This window comes from Homo sapiens, chromosome 19 (assembly GCF_000001405.40).
Source record: "Homo sapiens chromosome 19, GRCh38.p14 Primary Assembly".
In the NCBI taxonomy this organism is placed as follows: Eukaryota; Metazoa; Chordata; class Mammalia; order Primates; family Hominidae; genus Homo; species Homo sapiens.
This window is the reverse complement of record NC_000019.10, coordinates 3,336,190-3,355,935: the sequence shown is the minus strand read 5'-3', so window position 1 is coordinate 3,355,935 and position 19,746 is coordinate 3,336,190.

Below are 19,746 nucleotides of genomic sequence, written 5' to 3'. Positions count from 1 at the left end.
AAAAAAACCTTGTTTGTCATTATCACCCCACAGATCTTTTTAGACATTTTTTTCCTAATCACCCCACATGAAAATTTAGTAACATAGATGTCCTGTATATTTGCTTATATACTATATGTATATCAGTGTTCTGCTGTGTTTTTTACATTAAAAGAGTAAGATTTTTTTCACCCCTCCCCCTGCCACAAACCAATTTTTGTCCTTGTTGAGAATGCATGCCGTAAAGAATAGGAAAACCTTCCAATGGAATCTCATACAGTCTTTTAAGAAGAATCAAGTTCCTTACTCAGAAGGGTGAGGCAAGAGGATCATTTGAGGCCAGCAGTTCGAAACCAGCCTGGGCAATATAGTGAGACCGCCCCCCCATTTCTTAAAAAAAAAATAGAATGAAGTTCCAATAAGAAAATGACAACCACTCAAAAGAAAAATGTGCAGGCCAGGTGCAGTGGCTCAGGCCTGTAATCCCAGCACTTTGGGAGGCCGAGGCAGGCGGATCATGAGGTCAGAAGGTCAAGACCATCCTGGCTAACGTGGTGAAACCCCATCTCTACTAAAAAATACAAAAAATTAGCCAGGCGTGGTGGCAGGAGCCTGTAGTCCCAGCTACTCGGGAGGCTGAGGCAGGAAAATGGCATGAACCCAGGAGGTGGAGCTTGCAGTGAGCTGAGATCGCGCCACTGCACTCTAGCCTGGGTGACAGAGCGAGACTCCATCTCAAAAAAAAATAATAATAAGTGCAAAGCCTGAGAAGGCATATTACAAAACAGGAAACACGAGCATCCGACAAATAGATGAAGAGATGTCCAACGTTGTTAGGAATCCAGGACATGTATGATAAAGTCACAGGCCCCTTTTTACTCCCCTTTCACTGCCCCCTAGTTTAAAATGTCCAATAATAGCAAGTGTCAGAAGCCATGGATACACAAAGCTCTTCCACACTGCAGTCTCTCTGGAAGACAGACTGACATCAGCCACAACGCTGAACATGCATGCACCAAGTAACATAGCCTTTGCTCTCCTAGATAAATATCCACAGGAAACATGACCCAGGATATTTATGACTGTGCTATGCAAAAGGCAAAAACGGCCGGGCACAGTGGCTCATGCCTATAATACTAGCACCTTGGGAGGCTGAGGCGGGCAGATCACTTGAGGTCAGGAGTTCGAAGTAATCCCAGCTACTTGGAAAGCTGAGGCAGGAGAACCTCTTAAACCCGGGAGGCGGAGATTGCAGTGAGCCGAGATCACGCCACTGCACTCTGCCCTGGGCGACAGAGTGAGACTCTGTCTCAAATAAATAAATAAATAAATAAAAGACCTAGTTCAGCGGCGAGGCCTGTAGTCCCAGCTATTCAGGAGGCTGAGGCAGGAGGATCACCTGAGCCCGGGAGTTCCAGGCTGTAGTGTGCTGTGATCATGGCTATGAATGCTACTGCACTCCAGCCTAGGCAACTCAGTGAGACTCCATCTCTAAAACAACATAATTTTCAAAAATCTCATATATGTATTATATATTATATGTACATATATAATAATTATTATTATTACTTTTTGAGATAGGGTCTTATTCTGTCTCCCAGGCTGGTGTGCAATGGCATGATCATGGCTCACTGCAGCCTCGACCTCCCAGGCTAAAGTGATCCTCCCACTTCAGACTCCTGAGCCATTGGGACCACAGGTGTGTCACCACTCCTGGCTAAAAAAAAAAAAAAAAAAAAAAAAAAAAGATTTGTAGGCCAGGCATGGTGGCTCACACCTGTAATCTCAGTACTTTGGGAGGCTGAGGCAGGTGGATCACCTGAGGTCAGGAGTTCAAGACCAGCCTGGCCAACATGGTGAAACCCCATCTCTACTAAAAATACAAAAATTAGCCAGGCGTGGTGGTGGTGGCAGGCGCCTGTAATCACAGCTACTTGGGAGGCTAAGGCAGGAGAATTGCTTGAACCCAGGAGGCGGAGGTTACAGAGAGCTGAGATCACCCCACTACACTCCAGCCTGGGCAACAGAGCAAGACTCTGTCTCGAAAAAATTGTAGACATAGGGTCTCCCTGTGTTGCCCAGGATGGCCTCAAAAGAACTCCTGGGCTCCAGCGACCCTCCTGCCTCAGCTTCCCAAAGCACTGGAAACACAGGCATGAGCTACCATGCCCAGCAGTCACCCCCATTTTGCAGATGCAGAAACTGAGGCCTGGAGAGTTACTAACTATCCAAAGCAACTCACTCGTCAACTCTGCCACTGCAGCTCAAAAGCAGCCACAGGCAATAAGGAAGCAGATGAGCATAGCTGGGGCCAGCAGCATTCTTAGTGTCCGGTGTCTTTCACTCGGCATCATTATCTGAGATTTGTTCATGTGATTCTGTGTATGACTGTGCATTCTTTTACTGGGGATGGGGATTGAACTGTATGGATGTATGATGCTTTGCTTGCCCATTGACCTACGATTAGATATGGCAGAGGGGGTGTTATGCTGTCCTGGACTCTCACAAAGTTGCTGGGAACCTTCCTGGAGGAGCTTTTATGTATTTTTTTGGGACAGAGTCTCACTCTGTCGCCCAGGCTGGAGTGCAATGGCCCGATCTAGGCTCACTGCAACCTCTGCCTCCCAGGTTCAAGCGATTCTCCTGCCTCAGCGTCCTGAGTAGCTGGGATTACAGGCACCCGCCATCACACCCGGCTAATTTTTGTATTTTTAGTCGAGATGGGATTTCGCCATGTTGGTCAAGCTGGTTTCAAACTCCTGACCTCAGGTGATCTGCCCGCCTCAGCCTCCCAAAGTGCTGGGATCACAGGTGTGAGCCACCACATCCGGCCTCATGGAGGAACTTTTATATGAATATTTGCTTCTGGCTAGGCGTGGTAGCTCATGCCTGTCATCCCAGCACTTTGGGAGGCCAAGGCATGAGGATTGCTTGAGGCCAGGAGTTCAAGACCAGCTGGGGTAACATGACAAGACACAAGACCACGTCTATACACAAAATACAAACATTTAGCTGGGCATGGTGGTGCACACCTGTGGTCCCAGCTACTCCAGAGGCTGAAGTGGGAGGATGGCTTGAGCCCTGAAGGCAGAGGTTGCAGCGAGCTATGATCGTGCCGTTGCACTCTAGGCTGGGCAACAGAGTGAGACCCTGTCTCAAAAATAAATAAAATAGGCTGGGTGTGGTGGCTCACGCCTGTAATCCCAGCACTTTGGGAGGCTGAGGCAGGCAGATCACCTGAGGTCAGGAGTTCGAGACCAGCCTGGCAGACATGATGAAACCCTGTGTCTACTAACAAGGCAAAAATTAGCCGGGGGTGGTGGCACATGCCTGTAATCCCAGCTACTCAGGGGGCTGAGACAGGAGAATCGCTTGAACCTGGGAGGCAGAGGTTTCAGTGAGCCGAGATCATGCCATTGCGCTCTAGCCTGGGCGACGAGGCAAAACTCTGTCTCAAAAAATTAATTAACTAATTAATTAAAATAAAATAAAAACATATGTTTCTTGGTCAAAGGCTGAGGAATGGGATGGGTCCCCTACCAAGTGCATTTCTGTAAAATTCATTGCATGGTCATTTGCTTTCTTTCTTTTCCTTCCCTTTCTTTTCTTTCCTTTCTTTCCTTTTTCTACAGGGTCTCACTGTGTTGCCCAGGCCACAGTGCAGTGGCCTCATCATGGCTCACCGCAGCCTCCAACTCCTGGGCTCAAGCAGTCCTCCCACCTCAGCCTCCTGAGCAGCTGGGACTACAGGCATGTACCACCATGCCCAGCTAATATTTGTATTTTTAGTAGAGATGGGGTTTCACCATGTTGCCCAGTCTGGTCTCAAACTCCTGGGCTCACATAACTCACCCGTCTTGGCCTCCCAAAGTGCTGGGATGACAGGTGTGAGCCACCATGTCTGGCAAGAATTTTTGTTCCCCTTTGACAGAGTGATTTAGCTCCTGGGTCTCTACCGTAGGGAAGGAAAAGGGCGTCTCAGGGCACTGACAGGACCTGTCCAGCCTGAGTTCATATCCTGGTAGTGTGACCCTGGGCAAGTCACTTCAACCTACAGAACCTCCGTTTTCCCATCTGCAAAATGGGGAGTTTATGGGAGTTGGAGTGAGCATGAAATAAGTTGATATTTGCAAAGTGCCCAGAGATAGGACTTAACACATAGTGAATGATGTAGAAGTAATTGTTACATAAAAGCAAATCTAGCTTAAAACGCGAGGCTGTCCCTGCAGCTCCGTCTTAGCAACTGGGAACAGCTTAAGTGTCCAACAGTAGGGGACTGTGGAGGACATTTCACGAGATGGCAGAGTGAGGCTTCCAAAAATTGTCAGTGGTCTGGGAGACATAATATGATGGGATGTTTATAGAGAACAACATAGGATATAATTTTTGTGTGAACCATATATATTTTTTTTTTTTTGGAGACAGAGTCTAGCTCTGTAGCCCAGGCTGGAGTGCAGTGGCACGATCTCGGCTCACTGCAAGCTCCGCCTCCTGGGTTCACACCATTCTCCTGACTCAGCCTCCCAAGTAGCTGAGACTACAGGCGCCCGCCACCACGCCTGGCTAATTTTGTTTTTGTATTTTTAGTAGAAATGGGGTTTCACCGTGTTAGCCAGGATGGTCTCGATCTCCTGATCTCATTATCCGCCTGCCTCGGCCTCCCAAAGTGTTGGGATTATAGGCGTGAGCCACCGCGCCCGGCCAACCATATATATTTTTTTAACCTTTGTACATTTCTTTTTTGACACAGGGTCTTGCTCTGTCACCCAGGCTGGAGTGCAGTGGTGCAATAATAGTTCACTGCAGCCTTGTCCTCCTGGGCTCAAGGGATCTCCTACCTCAGCCTCCTGAGCAGCTGGGGCTACACAGGAGTGCACCACCACAACTGGCTAATTTTTTAAAATTTTTTTGTGGAGGTGGTATCTGCTCTGTGGCCCAAGGTGGTCTTGAACTCCAGGGCTCAAACGATCCTCTCATCTTGGCTTCCCAAAGTGTTGGGTTTACAGTCATGAGCCACCTCGCCCAGCCTGAAACACATTTTTTTTTTTTTTTTGAGATGGAGTTTCGCTCTGTCGCCCAGGCTGGAGTGCAGCGGCACGATCTCGGCTCACTGCAACCTCTGCCTCATGGGTTCAAGTGATTCTCCTGCCTCAGCCTCCTGAGTAGCTGGGATTACAGGCACGCACCACCACACCTGGCTAATTTTTGTATTTTTAGTAGAGATTAAAATGGGTTTCACCGTGTCAGCCAGGCTGGTCTTGAACTCCTGACCTCAGGTGATCTGCCCTCTTCAGTCTCCCAAAGTGCTGGGATTACAGGCGTGAACCACCACGCCCGACCTGAAACACATTTTGAATAACAATCCCAAGCACATTTTGTGCCCAGCATTGTTCAAAGTGCTCATGATACATTAACTCAGGGGTGGGCAAACTTTTTCTGTAAAGAGCCAGAGAGTAAATATTTTCATCTTTGCAGGACATATCATCCCCATTGCACCTGCTTGGCTGTGCCCTAGTGCACAAAAGCTGCCATAGACGGCATGGTCATGAATAAACGTGGCTGTGTGCCAATCAAACTTTACACACACTGAAATGTGAATCACATGTACTTTTCACGTGTCACAAAGTATTCTTTTGACTTCTTTCTACCACTAAACAATGTAAAAAAACAAAACCGAGCAGGGTGGCTCATAGTTGTAATTTTAGCACTTTGGGAGGCTGAAGCAGGAGGATCGCTAGAGCCCAGGAGTTTGAGATCAGCCTGGGCAACCTAGAGAGATCCCATCTTTACAAAAAATTTCAAAATTAGCTGTGTGTGTGGAGCGCACCCCTAGTCCCAGCTACTCAGAAGGCTGAGGAGGGAGGATCACTTGAGCCCAGGGAGGCTGAGCCTCCAGTGAGCTGATGACACCACTGCACTCCAGCCTGGGCAACAGAGGCAGACCTCATCACTAAAAAAAAGTAAAAATTTTAAGAGGCCAAGGCGGGCAGATCACTTGAGGTCAGGAGTTCGCGACCAGCCTGGCCAACATGGTGAAACCTCGTCTCTAATAAAAATACCAAAACTAGGCCAAGGCGTTCAGATGACTTGAGGCCAGGAGTTTGAGACCAGCCTGGCCAACATGGGAAAACCCCATCTCTACCAAATAATAATTATTTATTTATTTTTTTGAGATGGAGTCTCACTCTGTTGCCCAGCCTGGAGTGCAGTGGCATGAGCTTGGCTCCCTACAACCTCCGCCTCCAGGGCTCAAGCGATTCTCCTGCCTCAGCCTCCCAAGTAGCTGGGATTATAGGCACGTGCCACCACGCTGGGCTCATTTTTGTATTTTTAGTAGAGACGGGATTTCACCATGTTGGTCTGGCTGGTCTTGAACTCCTGACCTTGTGATTCACCACCTCGGCCTCTCAAAGTGCTGGGATTACAGGCGTGAGCCACCGTGCCTGACCAAAAACTGCAATTACTTTGGCACCAACCTAACAGTATCATTCCCAGTCTACAGATGAGGAAGCTGAGGCACAGAGAACTTGAGGCACTTCCTCAATGCCACACAGCCAGTGTTAAGTCTGGGATTTGAATTTGGGCAAGTTGACTCATAAAGCCCATCTCCTTAAGCCCCAATGGCTCTACCTTCTATATCTTAGCAGCAAAAAAGAGCAGGAAAAGAAAGTGAGGGATGGCCAGGCACAGTGGCTCATGTCTGTAATCCCAGCAGTTTGGGAGGCCAAGGTGGGCAGATCACAAGGTGAAGAGATCGAGACCATCCTGGCCAATATGGTGAAACCCCGTCTCTACTAAAAATACAAAAATTAGCTGGGTGTGGTGGCGTGCACCTGTAATCCCAGCTACTCGGGAGGCTGAGGCAGGAGAATCGCTTAAACCCAGGAGGTGGAGGTTGCAGTGAGCCGAGATCATGCCATTGCACTCCAGCCTGGGCGACAGAGCAAAAGTCCATCTCAAAAAAAAAAAAAAAAAAAGAAACAAAAAAAGAAACTGAGGGGTAAGCTTCGGGGACAGGAGAAAAGAGGTTAAAATTGCAACAATGGGCTGGGCATGGTGGCTCACGCCTGTAATCCCAGCACTTTGGGAAGCCGAGGCAGTTGGACCACCTGAGGTCAGGAATTCGAGACCAGCCTGGCCAACATGGTGAAACCCTCTCTCTACTAAAAAAAAACACACGAAAATTAGCCGGGCGTGGTGGCACGCACTTGTAATCCCAGCTACTCGGGAGGCTGAGGCAAAAGAATCGCTTGAACCCGGGAGTTGGAGCTTGCAGTGAGCCGAGATCTCACCACTACACTCCAGCCTGGGCAACACAGCAAGACTCTGTCTCAAAAAAAAAAAAAAAAAAGCAACAATGGATGTGGCTGTGTTGGCTGTTTCTTGCCTGTTTGTTTGTTATATTTTTTCCTCTTTCTCCACACTTCTGCAGGGGACGTTATACAAATTGAGGGTGGGGGGCAGGCAACCTCACAAGAAAAGCCACTGAGGCCACTTTTGCAGAATTTGCTCGGCCTTCAGACGTTTCCTCTGCAAGGCATCCTCAGTGCCCCTTGATCCTCCAGAGCCCTGAGAGGTTAACAGCAGCAGGTATGATTAAGCCCATTTTATAGATGAGGAAATTGAGGCCCACAGGTAGCTCTGCAGCCTTAATAACAGCTCCGGTAGCCAGGCCGGGTTCCGGCAATTATCCCATTTCATGCACAGACAGCCCCAGGCCAGGCAGGGGAGCCCTTATTACCTCGTTTGATAGAGGAGGCGTCAGATGAAGGAAAGGGGTTATCCAAGGTCACACAATGGGACCGCTGGCGTGGCTGGATCTGCTGGGGTCATGCCCCTGAGAGCGGGCTCCGGCACTAGGAAGGAACCCAGGCAGCCATGCCTTCCCTGAAAACTCAGTGCTGAAGCTCCCGGAGCAAAGACTGATGACCAGGTTAGTGCAGCCGGCCCCACTGTGCCTGGGGCCCCTCCGTCCCTGCGCAGCTCCATGGGCTGGGACAGAGTTCAGATACGCATAGCCCTTGCCCCTCCCTGGAGTTATTTTATTTTATTTTCTCTCTCTCTTTTTTTGTTTTGTTGTTTTTTTGAGATGGAGTCTAGCTCTGTCTCCCAGGCTGGAATGCAGTGGTGCGATCTTGGCTCACTGCAACCTCCGCCTCTGGGTTCAAGCTATTCTCCTGCCCCCTGAGTAGCTGGGATTACAGGCGCCCGCCACCACACCCGGTTAATTTTTGTATTTTTAGTAGAGACGGGGTTTCGCCATGTTGGCCAGGCTGGTCTCGAACTCCTGAACTCAAGTGATCCGCCTGCCTCGGCCTCCCAAAATGGTGGGATTACAGTCATGAGTCACTGCGCCCTGCCTAATTTTTAAATTTTTGTAGAGATGGGGTCTTGCTATGTTTCCCAGGCTAGTCTTGAACTCCTGGCCTCAAGTGATCCTCCTGCCTTGGCCTCCCAAAGTGCTGGGTTGACACTGGGTGCTGGGTGGGTGGGGCCACCGTACCCAACTGATAACTCATGTTTTAACACAAACTTTCTAAGAATAAAAGTGATTGCAGAAGATCCAGAATGAATGAAGTACCAATATTTAAATAAAGATCGATTACATATTACTGCTTTTGGGGTTTATTTTGGCCTTAGGATGCAACGCGACCCTTCTTGGCCTTGTAGGTCCATGGGACTTGAAGTCCAGATCCCAGGTGGTGCCTGGGAGGAGACTGAGGTGGATGAGGAAGGCATTCCAGGAGGAGAGGACGGCCCAAGCTGAGGTCTGGAGGTAGAAAGCCTGTCAAGCCACTCGTGGGAGAGGTGGCAGCTGCCAGCTGCGGGCCGTGAAGGCCACGTCTGATGCCCTTTGAGTGGGCCACCCCCTTTCCGCCTTTGCAAAATGCTGGAAAGGGGGTGGAAGAGCCTCTGTCCTCTCTTCCCGCCCAGAGTGTGATTTTTCAGGGTGAGCCCAGCCTCGGCTTGGCTCCAATTCCTTCTTCCTGCCAACAGCTCTCTCTCTCCTCTTTTTGATTCTGTCGCGGAGTTGGTGGGGGTGAGGATGCAGGGGAGACAAAAAAAAGCACTGCCTCTCCTTCCCCCACCGCTCCCGGGAGGAATTTGACATGGCAGTGGGCCCGGTCCTCGCCCTCCCCGGAGCTGCCCTCGCCAACTATGACGTGGCCGCTCTGGGGATCTTCCGAGGATGGCACCGGTTTCCCAGCCCCAGGCACAGGGGCACGGAGGGGGCTCCCTGTCTCAGTTTCCCCACTGGGAGGGCAGCAGGACTGCTCCAGAGACCCTGGGTCCCCTCAGACTCAGCTCAGCCCCCACCCCCACCGCCTGTGACCATCTGTTCATCGTTGAAAACCTCGTGGCGTTGGGGTTTTGCTGGTGGAGTCCAGAGCTAAAGGCGGGGACCCTGGGCCAGAAATAGGGAAAGAGGGGGCTCGCCAGGGCCTTGCCTACCACCCCCACCAAGATGGTCTGAGCTGGGCTTACAGGTTGAGTGTGGGGTCGGGACCCCACGGCATTTCTGCACCCACCCACGTAGAACCATCCCCACCACCTCCAGGGAAGCCATCCCACAGGACAGCCCCTGGCCAGAACTGAGCTCAGGCAACCGTGTGGCATGAAGTTCCCCCTACACAAGCGTGGCCACTGCCGGGCTTATACCCCCTCCTCTGATTCAAGAAGAAAAGCACCAGGACTCCTGCTTGGCCGTCGGTGTGACGAGGGGCTGAAGGCTGCTGGAGGTGGCTGGTCCTACCTGCTCCTCCCTCTCCCACCCAAAGGACGTCTGGGGTTCCCCCAGGGCTGGGGAGGGTGGCTGGAGTGGGAGAAGGAGGGCAAAAAGGGGGACAGGGACTGATCTGGAACATGGAGGGGTAAGGATAATGGCAGCCGCCTTTCAGCAATTCATGCACCCGCATTTATTGAGCACCTGCTGTGTGCCAGGCCCTGTTCTTTTTTTTGAGACAGAGTCTCGTACTGTCACCCAGGCTGGAGTGCAATGGTACAATGTCAGTTCACTGCAACCTCCGCCTCCTGGGTTCAAGCAATTCTGCCTCAGCTTCCCAGTAGCTGGATTTTAGGCGCCCACCACCATGCCCAGCTAATTTTTTGTATTTTTAGTAGACATGGGGTTTCGCCATGTTGGCCAGGCTGGCCTCGAACTCCTGACCTCAGGTGATCCGTCCCCCTTGGCCTCCCAAACTGTTGAGATTACAGGCGTGAGCTACTACGCCTGGCCAAGGGTGCAATTTTAAGAAGCTGAGAATTGAAGGAGGCAAGGGAGGAGCCATGGGGAGCCGGGCGGCGGGAGGGGGGGGCGGGGGGGGGGGAAGAGCGTTTCAGGTCTGTGCAAAGGCCCTGGGGCAGGATGGCACCTGGCGTGTTGGAGGAACAGCAAGGAGGCCTGTGTGGCTGGAGCAGAGTGAGCGACAAGGAGTAAGCGGGGAGGGGAGGGCAGGGAGGGGACAGAACAGGTTGTGCAGGGCCTCGTAGGCTGCAAGGAGGACTTGGGCTTTGATCCTGAGGGAGGTGGGAGCCATGGAAGGCTGCGGGCAGAGGAGGGATGGGCCCTGACTTGGGTGCTCACAGGCACCCTCTGGCTGCTTCAGGGAGGACAGGCCGTGGAGGGGCGAGGGTGGGAGTGGGAGCATCCAGGCGGAGGGGACGGCACAGGTCCAGGCGGGCTATGACAGGGCTGGACCTTGGTGGGAGCTGTGTACCTGCCATGTGCCGGCCACTGTGCAGGGTCCTTCCCTCCCCCCTGCATCCGGCCCCCAGGTAGGCATTCTCATTCCCCCATTTGACGGATGAGGAGACTGAGGCTCAGAGAGGGAAAGGACCTGGCTCTAGTCCCACATCACATCTCTCCACTGCCTAAAGCCCTCCATGGCTCCTCACTGCCCTCCAGGCGACAGAGTCCTCCCCGAGGGCTACAAAGCCCTGCCTGACCCACCCTGTCCCTCCCTGCCCTCGCCTCCTCCCTCTCTCCCTCTCCTCCCTCCGCTGCAGCCACACGGGCCTCCTCGCTGTTCCTCCACATCAGGTGCCGTCCTGCCCCAGGCTGTTTGCATGGGCTGTTCCCTCTGCTTGGAATGCCCTTCCTCCAATGTGGCTGTTTCTCTACAGCCACCTTGTTCATCTTCACATCCTCAGTGACCAGCACATAGCAGGTGCTCAATAAATGTTTAATGAGGCCGGTCGTGGTGGCTCGCACCCATAATTCCAGCACTTTGGGAATTTGAGGCCAAGGTGGGAATTCCACCTGAGGCCAGGAGTTCGAGGCCAGCCTGGGCAACATAGCGAGACCCCTGTCTCTATTTAATAAATAAATGTATAAAGGTTTAATAAGTGACATTGAAATGTTAAGGAGAATCCTGGCTCTGGTTAAGTGGTAACAGTCTGGGGGTTACACCTCTGAGAAGGTTGCTCTCCCAGATCGACCCTCAGTGCCCACACATCAGGAAGCCTCAGCTGACCTGCGTCTGCAACCAACAGAGTGAAGAAGAAATTTTAGGACCAAAGGGACCCACCTCAAGCCCTTTCATGGGGCCAATGGGCTTCACTTGGGGGGGCGTGGCCTTCCTCACTGGGGCATTCTCATTGGCCAGGACATATGCAGCCATCTTCTGATAGGCCACACAGCAAGGCAGCTGTCTCTGATTGGGCCCTGCTTTCCGGCAGCCGTCCCACGCCTGAGGTTCCACCGGTTGTCCCGGTGCCCAGGAGTAAGTTGCATTTTTCTTTCCTGGCGGTGCCCGTGGGGCTGAGGCCGTGGCAACTGCTCAGGCTTGCCGGTATGCCGCCCTCAGATTTTGCAACAGTGGCATGGCCTGGGCCCCTGCTGGCAGTTCCTGGAACCCTGGCATGGTAGGGGTTGTTGGCCCCCACCTCGGCTCGGCTGTGCCCGGAGTCATGCCCAGCACAGAAGGTGGCTCCACCCCACTGTGCTGTGTGACCCTGCGCTAGACCTGCCCCTCTCTGAGCCTTTATTCTCTTCTGCTAAAAGGGAACTTTGAACAGTAACCGCGATGCCGGGCAGTGGTTCTCAACGGGGTAATTCTGCCCCCCAGGGGACACTTGGCAATGTCTGGGGACATTTTTGGTTGTTATGACTGGGACAGGGGTGGGTGGGTGGGTGGGGGGAGTTGCTGCTAGCATGCAGTAGGTGGAGGCAGGGATGTTGCGAAACCTCCCGCCATGCACAGCACATTCCCCAACACACACATGCCGATCTGGCCCGGATGTCCACAGTGCTGAGAAGCCAGCTGCAGAAATCTAGCAGTTTTGGAAACGGGAAGACATCATGCCCAAGGAAGGAGCTGCGTCATTATTTTTGTTATTTACTCAACAAACATTTATTGACTTGCTACGATGGGCCAGTCCTTCAGAGGGCTGGCTTTTTATTACATTTTTAACATGTTTTAATTTTAATATTTATTTATTTGAGACAGAGCCTCACTCTGTCGCCCAGGCTGGAGTGCAGTGGCGTGATCTCGGCTCGCTGCAACCTCTGCCTCCTGGGTTCAAACAATCCTCCTACCTCAGCCTCCCGAGTAGCTGGGATTACAGGCGGCCGCCAGCACACCTGGCTAATTTTTGTCTTTTTAGTAGAGATGAGGTTTCGCCATGTTGGCCAGGCTGTCTTGAACTCCTGACCTCAGGTGATCCCCTCGCCTCTGCCTCCCAAACTGCTGGGATTACAGGCGTGAGCCACCGCGCCTGGCCTTTTTTAGAGACAGGGTTTCACTCTGTTGCCCAGGCTGGAGTGCACTGGTGCAGTCACGGCTCACTGCAGCCTTGAACTCCTGGGTTCAAGAGATCCTCCCGACTCAGCCTCCCAAGTAGCTAGGAGTGCAGGAATGCACCACCATGCCTGGCTAATTTTTTAATTTTTGTAGAGACAGGGTCTTGCTCTGTCGCCTGGGCTGGATCATACGGGTGCAATCATAGCTCACTGCAGCCTGGAATTCATGGGCTCAAGTGATCCTCCCACCTCAGTCTCCTGAGTATAGGGCGGGCTTCATTTATCCTCATGGCCGGGTGTGGTGGCCATGCCAGTAATCCTAGCACTTTGGGAAGCTGAGGCAGGTGGATCACCTGATGTCAGGAGTTCGAAACCAGCCTGGCCAACATGGTGAAACCCCGTCTCTACTAAAAATACAAAAATTAGCTGGGCGCGGTGGCATGCGCCTGTAGTACCAGCTACTTGGGAGGCTGAGGCAGGAAAATGGCTTGAACCCGGGAGGCAGAGATTGCAGTGAGCCAAGATTGCGCCACTGCACTCCAGCCTGGGCAACAGAGTGAGACTCTTGTCTCGAAAATAAATAAATAAATAATAAATAAATAAATATCCTCGTTACAGTGTTGGCAGATGAGGACAATGACAGGTTTATTGTGCATGTACCATGTGCCAGGTACTTTTACAGATGAGTCCCATCTTATGACTCCTGACATAGCCACTTCTCACCCCATTTTACAGATATGTAAACTGAGGCACCAGCTCACGGTCACACATTGAGTCCGAGGCCAACTCAGGCTCCCTCTGCTTCAGTGTCTCTGTCCTGCCCCTGGGCTCTCTGTCCTCTGCCTGGTGACCCCTGTACCCACCTCTCCAGGCTGCCCTGGGTTCGACAAGAGGGCATGGTAGGCGCGTGATCAATGCGTCTGGGTTGGATGCAGGGGGAGCCTCCTTGGTTCAGCCCCCCATGGCTCGCCTGGGATTGATTGTCATTGTCACCTCTTCGCACACAGCTCCCAAAGCCAGTGTTATTCTTTTTTTTTTTTGAGATGGAGTCTCGCTCTGTCGCCCAGGCTGGAGTACAGTGGTGCAATCTCGGCTCACTGCAATCTCTGCCTCCCAGGTTCAACCGATTCTCCTGCCTCAGCCTCCCGAGTAGCTGGGATTACAGGCATGCACCACCACGCCTGGCTCATTTTTGTATTTTTAGTAGAGACGGGATTTCGCCACTTTGGCCAGGCTGGTCTCGAACTCCTGACCTCAGGTGATCCACCCGCCTCGGCCTCCAAAAGTGCTGAGATGACAGACGTGAGCCACCGCGCCTGGCCTGTCCCATTTTACAGATGGGAAAACTGAGGCTGAGAGAGGAAGGGGTCTGTCCCAGGGATCCATGGCCACATGCAACACTTAGGCTCCTAGGTCCCCTCACGGTCGCACCCAGGCCGTGCAGGGCAACATGGTGGGACTCAGATCCCAAGCGTGGAGGCCGCTGCTTGTGTTTCTGCTGAGTCAAGGCCCCAACCCCTCCTGCAGCCCTCCCAAGAGGTGAGGCTTGCTCAGGATGTGGTTCAGGGTCTGTTTGGGCTCAGCCCTAGAACCCTCCCTCCCAATCTTCCACACGGTTGGGGAGGAGAAGCCCAGCAGCAACAGGGATGAGGGATAGACAGCTGGTAGCACTTCCTGTGTTTGGCGATCCATGGAGCAGGACATCTACCCAGTGTTTCTCCCTCACTGGACACATTACTTGTTCTTCAAAGTGAAGCACTTTGGGGCCGGGCGCGGTGGCTCACGCCTATAATCCCAGCACTTTGGGAGGCCGAGGTGGGTGGATCACGAGGTCAGGAGATCGAGACCATCCTGGCTAAGACGGTGAAACCCCGTCTCTACTAAAAATACAAAAAATTAGCTGGGCGTGGTGGCGGGCGCCTGTAGTCCCAGCTACTCGGGAGGCTGAGGCAGAGAATTGCTTGAACCCAGGAGGTGGAGCTTGCAGTGAGCCGAGATCGCGCCACCGCACTCCAGCTTGGGCGACAGAGCGAGACTCCATCTTAAAAAAAAAAAAAAAAGTGAAGCACTTTGGGAGGCCGAGGCGGGCAGATCACCTGAGGTGAAGAGTTTGAGACCAGCCTGGCCAACATGGCAAAACCCTGTCTGTACTAAAAATACAAAAATTATCCGGGCGTGGTGGCGGGCGCCTATAATCCCAGCTACCTGGGAGGCTGAGGCAGGAGAATGGCATGAACCCGGGAGGCGGAGCTTGCAGTGAGCCAAGATCACGCCATTTCACTCCAGCCTGGGCGACAGAGTGAGACTCCCTCTCAAAAAAAAAAAAGACACAGAGCAATGAGCAGGTGGATGATGGCCCTTGTGGGGTAGACGGGGAAACTGAGGCTCAGGAAAATGCAGTCTTTTGCCCATGGGCCCTGGGGCTCCAGGCCAGGGAGCTAGTGTCCTGAGTTCTCTGAAACCTTCCGGACACCGTGGAAAGAGCTGGGCTTTGGAGCTGGCTGAGCTGGCCCTGCTTTTCCCGCTCACGTGCTGTGCAGCTTTGGATGAAGACGTGGAACCAAGCTTGGCCCTGCGCAGTAGGGAAAGGAGAGCACAGAGCGTGGCAGAAGAGTCAACCCCAGCCCCTCTGTCCCATAGGGCTGGCACCGTGGGTGTAGGCACAGGCATCACCTGGCTCTCCAGAGCCTGCCCACACACTCCAGGCCCTCATGCCCAGCCAGGCGGAGCCCCAGGGAGCCAGCCTCCGAGGTCGCAGTCACAGACTGCTGGCATCTATCCCTTCACAGATGGAGAAACTGAGGCCTGGGGTACTAGGACCTCACAAGGTGGGCGATATGAAGGGTGGCGATGCTGCCTGCAGGTCCTGGAGTCCTCCCAGCTGAGGGTATTTCCCTGGCCGAGCCTCTCTCACCATATCCCATGAATGAACTTGCCCAAGCTGCTTCTGTTTTCTGGGCCTCAGTTTCTCCATCTGTCTAAGAGGAACCCGCTAACATGCCTGGCAGGGGTCACGGCACGGAAGGGAACGTCACCCATGTCTATGCAGAGATATTGTGATTTCCAGCCCCACAGAGCCCACGGAGGTCCCATTCCCTGACACCTCCACCAACACCCCTGTCTTCAGAGGTTCAAATCTTGGCTCTACCACTTACAGACCACGGGACCTTGGGCAGATGGCGGCCTTGCTTCATGCCTCAGTTTCCCTATCTGTAAAATGCGGACAGTCATATGACTGTGGCTGTCACTAAGTGCTGTTTGCCCCAGAGACCTTCCCCCCAATCCCTCACTCCCTTCCAGAGCAGGGCTGGGGTCTCCTCTTTGCACCACTGGGTGGGGGGCGCCCTCTACCGCCTACCCACAGCTTTGAAAAGCCCTGAAGAACCAGAGTCTCCCTCCCTCAATGGGAGAGGCAACTCCTGCTTCTCTCGCTCTAAAAAGGAAATTCTGGGCCGGTGCGGTGGCTCATGCCTGTAATCCCAGCACTTTGGGAGGCCAAGGTGGGTGGATCACCTGAGGCCAGGAGTTCGAGACCAGCCTGGCCAACATGGTGAAACCCCGTCTCTACTAAAAATACAAAAGTTAGCCGGGCATGGTGGCGTGCACTTGCAATCTCAGTTACTCGGGAGGCTGGGGCAGGAGAATCGCTTGAACCTGGGGGACAGAGGTTGCAATGAGCCGAGATCACGCCACTGCACTCCAGCCTGGGCAACAGAGTGATACTCTGTCTCAAAATAAATAAATAAATAAATTAATAAAATAAATAAATTAAAAAAAGGAATTCCAGCCAGGTGTGGTGGCTCACACCTGTAATCCTAAGACTTTGGGAGGCCAAGGTAGGTAAATCAGTTGAGGTCGGGAGTTCAAGACCAGCCTGGCCAACATGGTGAAACCCCGTCTCTACTAAAAATACAAAAAAAAAAAAAAAAAAATTAGCCAGGGATGGTGGCACATGCCTGTAATCCCAGCTACTAGGGAGGCTGAGGCAGGAGAATTGCTTGAACCTGGGAGCTGAGGTTGCAGTGAGCCAAGATAGTGCCACTGCACTCCAGCCTGGACAACAGAGCGAGACTCTGTCACAGAAAAAAAAAAAAAAAGGGAATTCCTTGGCCTTTGCCCTTTGCCCTCTGACCTCCAGCCTCAGGTCTGGGGCAGCCAGTATGCAGTCTCCCAGCCAGTGGCCGAAAGGAGCAGGGTGACGGTCCTGGCAGCCCAGGGACACATCTGGATGGAGGAACTGAGGCCAGAGCTGGCTGGACACTGGCTCAGGGTCGCATGATGGAGCAGCCTAGGGTACGGGGGCCCTTCCTTGGGGAGGAAACCCTGGGGTCAGGGATGGGACCCCTCTGCCACTGGAGGTAGGGAGCAGGCAGCTGGTGCCCAAGGTGGGTGGGTAACGACAGGAAGTCGGTTACTGAGGAGGCAGTTGTTGGCACTTTGATTTCCTGCTGTGCCGCAGGTTATGTAAAGGGCTGGGAGTGGCCGGGCACCCCAACACCCCGCCCACCCTGTGCCACCCTGGGGCTTGTCGTACAGAGAAGGGAAGGAGAGGCTCAGAGTGGGATGTTTGGGAGCTTGCAGCCATCAGGCAGGAACGTGAGCCTGGGCCCCTTGGGACCTGGCACCATGACCTCAGTTCTCTGTCCCCTGCCCCCAGCCTCCCTCCACTGGGCTCCAGGGAGGTGTAGGGTGAGAGGTTCCCAGCTGATTTCTCAGCTCCCAGCCCTGCCTCTGACTTGCTTTGGGAACATCAACTTCAGTTTCCCATGTGTGCAATGGGCCTGGATTCTTTCTTTACTTTTTTTTTTAATTTTAATTTTTTTTTTTTTTTTGAGACTGAGTCTCACTTTGTCGCCCAGGCTGGAGTGCAGTGGTGCGATGTCAGCTCACTGCAACCTCTGCCTCCCGGGTTCAAGCAATTCTCCTGTCTCAGCCTCCCGAGTAGCTGGGACTACAGGTGCACGCCACCACACCCAGCTAATTTTTGTATTTTTAGTAGAGACGGGGTTTCACCATAGTGGTCAGGCTGGTCTCGAACTCCTGACCTTAGGTGATCCACCTGCCTCGGCCTCCCAAAGTGCTGGGATTACAGGCGTGAGCCACTGCAACTGGCCATTTCTTTACTTATTTCTGTTGCTGTTATTTTCTTTTAGTTAGCAGATACTTTCATGTTAATATACGTGAGGGCCCGTTCTAAAATGCATAGCTAGATGTGGTGGCTCATGCCTGTAATCACAGCACTTTGGGAGGCCGAGGCAGGTGGATCACGTGAGCCCAGGAGTTCCAGACCAGCTTGGGCAATATGGGAAAAGCCCATCTCTACAAAAAAAAAGTAATATAAATTAAGAATAAATGCATTATAAGGATTAACACGATTAATCCTCTTGGGGGGTCTGACTGCTATGATGATCCCCACTTTACAGATGGAGAAACTGAGGCACAGAGCAACCAAGCAGCACAGGGTGGCAGAGGTGGTAAAGGAGGGGGTCAGGATGGGAACCCAGGCCCCTCTGTGGGTGGACTGCCCTGATGGTGGGGAGGTTCGTGTTGGCCTCCCCAGGACACAGATGGAAATACTGGGTCTTGGTGAGGGCCAGGGCCAGGCTCGGGGTCAGCGGTGGGTGAGCACAAAGCCAGACACCCCTGGTTGCCCTCTCTGGGTGATGGTGCCCAGTGTTCCACATCAGAGCACCCACCAGGCATCGTGGACATCTCGGAGGCCCAATTGGCCACCACAGTCACGGTGCTCCAGGGCCAGTCTGAGGGCGAAACTGTTCCCTGGGTGTCTGTAGTGTGGGCTGGGAGCAGGCAGCGGCTCTCACCCGGCATCCACCATGGGCCATGCTCACTCCTTGCATGGGCGTGTTCTCAACAACCTGGGGGTTGGGACCACAGGGATCCCATTTTTTTGGAAGAGGAAGCTGAGTGCCAAGTGGAGAGGCCACATCCTAGGGGCCCAGCAGAGTCCGAGCCTGACTCAGTGCCCTTGGCCTTGGCCTCTCAGACTCACTCCACTGGCCAAGCCTGTCCAGCCCCACACCCCTGCCACCGGCAGGACTTGGTGTGTGTGACTGGGGGAGGAGCGGGCCTGGGTGGCTGGGAAACCAGGTAGGGGTATGACCAGAGTGGGGGGTGCTGGGTATGCAGCCCCCTCCCTCCTGGAAGAGGCCTAGCCCGGAGCACCCCACCCCCAGCCCTGTTGGCAGAGCGATTAAAGAGAGAAGGATGAGGGAAAAAGCCTGAAAGAATTAAACAAACAAAGGGAGAGGTCGGTTTATATAATCTCTGGTACAACGTGTCCTCTTGAGCCAGGATTAGGCCGTGGCGTTTCCCAGGCAGCCGTGGGGGCGGGTGGCAGACGCCCTGCTCCCTCCTTGCTCTGTGCCACTGCCTGCCCTGGCTGCCTCCCTCCCCGTGGGGGCCCTTCTGTATCCCCAGGTTGGGGAAGCTCCAAGGGGGGGCCAGGTCCAGCTGGGAGGATGCCAGCTCCCCCTGGGAGGTGGGGGCAGGTCCGGGAATCGTGCCATCTGGCAGATCCACTCCCAGGCCTGCCCTGCACAACCAGCTCACAATCTTGGACAGACCTGAGACCTTGGTTTCTCTTCTGGGAAATGATTTTGTGGGGCTATAGGTATTTGGAGCCTGGTACACAGTTGGTGCTAAATAATTGCATACCTCCAATAACTGTGGAAGCTGGAATCAGGGCTATAATCACGATCAATTGGGTATCAACAGTAACAGTCACAACAATAATAAGATCTAACGATAGTTTCATTTCTCTTTATAGCATTCATCCTTCTTGAACGTTAACATTTTAATTCACGGTTTGTGTCTCTCCCTGGAGTCCCAAACCCTCGAGAAGGACAGGTGTCAGTGTCACTTTTGTTTGCTGCTGGATCTCCTGTGTCTAGGACAGAGCTAGACCCGCAGCGGGTACCTTGAACATATTTCGAGAACTTAGGGCTGAATCGTTCATGTGTATTGAGTGCCCTCTCAGGACCACGCTTTGCACTCAGCACAACCAT